Below are 4,317 nucleotides of genomic sequence, written 5' to 3'. Positions count from 1 at the left end.
CTGTATGTTATTGTTACCCTTAGCACATCATATGCTTCAAATTCTATTAGCAAAATCTTGTATTTATAATGGAAGCTGGTTTACCAGAGTTGTTTTGTTTGTTTTTAAATACTTCAGTGTTTGACACCCTGTCACCTTTAGTGTTCTTTTTGCACCATGTCACAGAGATGCTTTGTCTCTTGCAATTAACTGTCTACACAATTCTTATTAATCTTGGTTTTTAACTGGCTGGTAGTTGGTCTGTTGATAGGAATGGGTGTAGGAGATATTCTCTTTTATTTTATTAAGCCTCACTATCTGGCAGGCATAGTGTCTCTGGATCTAAGAAGTGTGGCCTTTTCAATGTTCTAGCCCCTCCCAGGGTGGTAGCCTGAGTCCAGGATAAATTCTCTCTCTCTCTCTCTTTTTTTATTATTATACTTTAATTTCTGGGATACATGTGCAGAATGTTCAGGTTTGCTACATAGCTATACACGTGTCATGATGGTTTGCTGCACCCATCAACCCATCATCTACATTAGGTATTTCTCCTAATGCTATCCCTACCCTAGCCCCATAACCCCCATCAGGCCCTGTGTGTGATGTTTCCCTCCCTGTGTCAATGTGTTCTCATTGTTCAACTTCCATTTATCAGTGAGAAAATGTGGTGTTTGGCTTTCTGTTCTTGTGTTAGTTTGCTGAGAATGATGGTTTCCAACTTCATCCATGTCCCCGCAAAGGACATGAACTCATCCTTCTTTATGGCTGCATAGTATTCCATGGTGTATATGTGCCACATTTCCTTTATCCAGTCTATGATTGATGGGCATTTGGGTTGGTTCCACGTTTTTGCTATCGTGAACAGTGCTGCGGTAAACATATGTGTGCATGTGTCTTTATAGTAGAATGATTTATAATCCTTTGGGTATATACCCAGTAATGGGATTGCTGGGTCAGATAGTATTTCTGGTTCTAGATCCTTGAGGAATCGCCACAGTGTCTTCCACAATGGTTGAACTAATTTACACTCCCACCAACAGTGTAAAAGCATTCCTGTTTCTCCACATCCTTTCCAGCATCTGTGGCTTCCTGACTTTTAAATGATTGCCATTCTAATTGGCGTGAGATGGTCTCTCATTATGGTTTTGATTTGCATTTCTCTAATGACCAGTGATGATGAGCTTTTTTTCATATGTTTGTTGGCTGCATAAATGTCTTATTTTTAGAAGTGTAGGTTCATATCCTTTGCCCAATTATTGATGGGGTAGTTTGTTTTTTTCTTGTTAACTTCTTTAAGTTCTTTATAAATTCTGGGTATTAGCCCTTTGTCAGTTGGATAGATTGCAAAAGTTTTCTTCCATTCTGTGGGTTGCCTGTTCATTCTGATTATAGTTCCTTTTGCTGTGCAGAAAGAAACCCATTAGTTTAATTAGATCCCATTTGTCAATTTTGGCTTTTGTTGCCATTGCTTTTGGTATTTTAGTTATGAAGTATTTGCTCATGGCTATGTCCTGAATAATATTGCCTAGGTTTGCTACCAGGGTTTTTATGGTTTTAGGTCTTACGCATTCTTATTTCTCCCTCAAAGTCAGACTTTTCTGTTTGTTTATATGATCCCTTACTCTAGCTAAAATAGATACTTAGTAGTGCACTAAGTATGACAGTGTTTATTGCCTTTCTTTCCAAAGATTAGAGCTTTTCTTTATTAAGAAAACAATCAGTTTGTCAATATCTAAATAAGAGCTTATGAGATAGTAATTGGAATTACATTGAATCTATAGATCAACTGAGAAAGAATTGACATGTAAAAAATCTTGAATCATCCAATTCGTGAATGCTAAATATCTATTCATTTATTTACATGTTTGATTTATTTCATCAGAGTTTTGTTGTTTTCTGCATATAGATTCTAAATACATTTTGCTAGACTTATACTTAAGTTTTTTCAGTACTAATGTAAACCCTATTTTTTAAATTTAAAATTTCAGTTGTTCATTACTGGTATATAGGAATGCATTTGACATTTGGATATCACATTAACACTTTATCTTGGGATGTTGCTATACTCATTTATTAGTTCCCAACATTTTTTTGGAAATTCTTTAGGATTTTCTACATAGATAATAATGTCATCTGTAAAGAAGAACATTTATTTTTTACTCTTAATTTGTACACTTTTTTATTAGTCTTGTCTTGTTGCACTAGATATGACTCCTAGTGTGGTGATTAATAGAAAATAGTGACAGAAAACATTTTTTCCTTGCTTTCTAAAGGGAGAAGGTACCTATTTTCTCACTATTAAATGTAATGTTAGATGAAGGGTTCTTTTCTAGATATTCTTTTTCTATTTTAAATGTTTATACCTAATTTCCATGACATTTTTGTTATAAATGAGTGTTGGATTTTGTCAAATGCCTTTGACATCATTTGACATGATCATAATTTTTTTTTCCTTAGCCTACTGATTTGATGGATTACATTGCTTTATTTTTAAATGTTGAACTAGACTTGTTTATCCAAAATTAATCCTACTTGGCCATCATGTTTACTTCATTTTAGACACTGTCAGATTTTATTTACTATTGTTTTGTTGCAGAATTTTGCATCTGTGTTAATGAGCAATATTCATCTCTGGTTTTCCTTTCTTGCAATATCTTTATGGATTTTGGTATTAGGGGAATTCCGGTTTCACAAATGGAATTAGACATTCTTTACTCTACTGCTATTTTCTGAAAAATATTGTGGAGAAGATATTTTTCTTCCTTAAATGTTTGGTAAGACTCATGAGTCAATGCATCCAGGCCAGGTGCTTCCTTTTTTCTTGAAAGTTATTAATAATTGATTTAATATCTTTAGTAGGTGTAAGCCTATTGAAGCTATCTATTTCTCCTCATGTATATTTTGCCAGCTTGGGTCTTTCAAGAAATAGATCTGTTTTATCTAAGTTTTCAAATGAGAGGGAAGTATTTTTTGTAGTATACTTTATGATACTTATATTGTCAATAATAGTAGTAGCTATCATCTCTGTATCACAAAAGATTTTGTTTTCTTTTCCTTTATTTTTATTTTTTGTTGTTGCTCAGCCTGGCTAGATATTAATCAATTGTGATGATCTTTTAAAGAACTGACTTTTAGTTTTGCTGACATTTAAATTTTTTTTGTTTTTATTTTTCTTGACTTTTGCTAAAATTTTTCATATTCTTCTTTTTACTTTATGCTTGTATCACTCTTCTTTCCCTAGTTTCCTAAGGTGAAATCTTAAGATTGCTGTTTTAGATCTTTCTGGTTATTCATAATTGTTTTTAATGCTCTACATTTTCCTCTGAGCACTGTTTTTACTATCTCTCAAATTTTGATATTTTATTTTGATGTTTATTTAGTTCAAAATATTTCAAAATTTATCTTCAGAGTTTATCTTTGTGTGTTATTTGGGGATATGTTGTTTAATCTTCAAATATTTGAGTATTTTCTATTTTTCTGTTATTGATTTAAAGTTTAGTTCCATTGTGTTTTGAAAATATACTTTAATTTCTATTATTTTGGATGTAAGATATGTTTTATTTTGTCTAAACTATTATCTCTATTGGTAAATGTTCTAAATGAGCTTGAGAAAAATGTGTATTATGCCATTTTTGCATGAAGTATCCAATAAATGTCAATTAAATCATGTTGATTCATAGTGTTGCTCAGATCAACTTTACCCTTACTGATTTTCTGCCTCCTTAATCTATCAATTGCCGAAAGAAGGATGCTAAAGTCTCCAATTATAATGGCTTATGTCTATTTTTCTTGATGTTCTATTAGAGTTTTTGTTTGTTTATATATTTTGTCTATTTTGTTCTTTTTTGCATATTTTGATTATCCATTTTTAGCAGTATAACCATTAAATGATAGTCTGAAGATTGACCTCTTAATCACTATATAATACTTCCCTTTATCCTTCATAACTTTTCTTACATCTGCTTTGTATGAATTTAATATAGCCACTACGTGTTTATTTTGATTAGTGTAGCATAGTATATCATTCTCTCTTCCTTTATTTTTAAAACAGCTTTATTGAGATATAACTCAATAACACTTTAGTTTTAACCTATCTTAGCTTTAAAAAAAAACTTTTATTTTAGATTCAATGGTAAACATACAGGTTTGTTATATAGGTAAACTCGTGTCACAGGGATTTGTTGTACAGGTTATTTAATCATCCAGATACTAAGCCTAGTACCCAATAGTTATTATTATTATTATTTTTTTCTGCTCCATTCTGTCCTCCTACCCTCTACTTTTAGGTAGGCCCCAGTGTCAGTTGCTCCCCTCATTGTGTCCATTTATTCATCATTT

Source organism: Homo sapiens, chromosome 5 (assembly GCF_000001405.40).
Source record: "Homo sapiens chromosome 5, GRCh38.p14 Primary Assembly".
Lineage (NCBI taxonomy): Eukaryota > Metazoa > Chordata > Mammalia > Primates > Hominidae > Homo > Homo sapiens.
The sequence above is the reverse complement of the archived record's forward strand: the minus strand, read 5'-3'. Positions refer to the sequence as shown.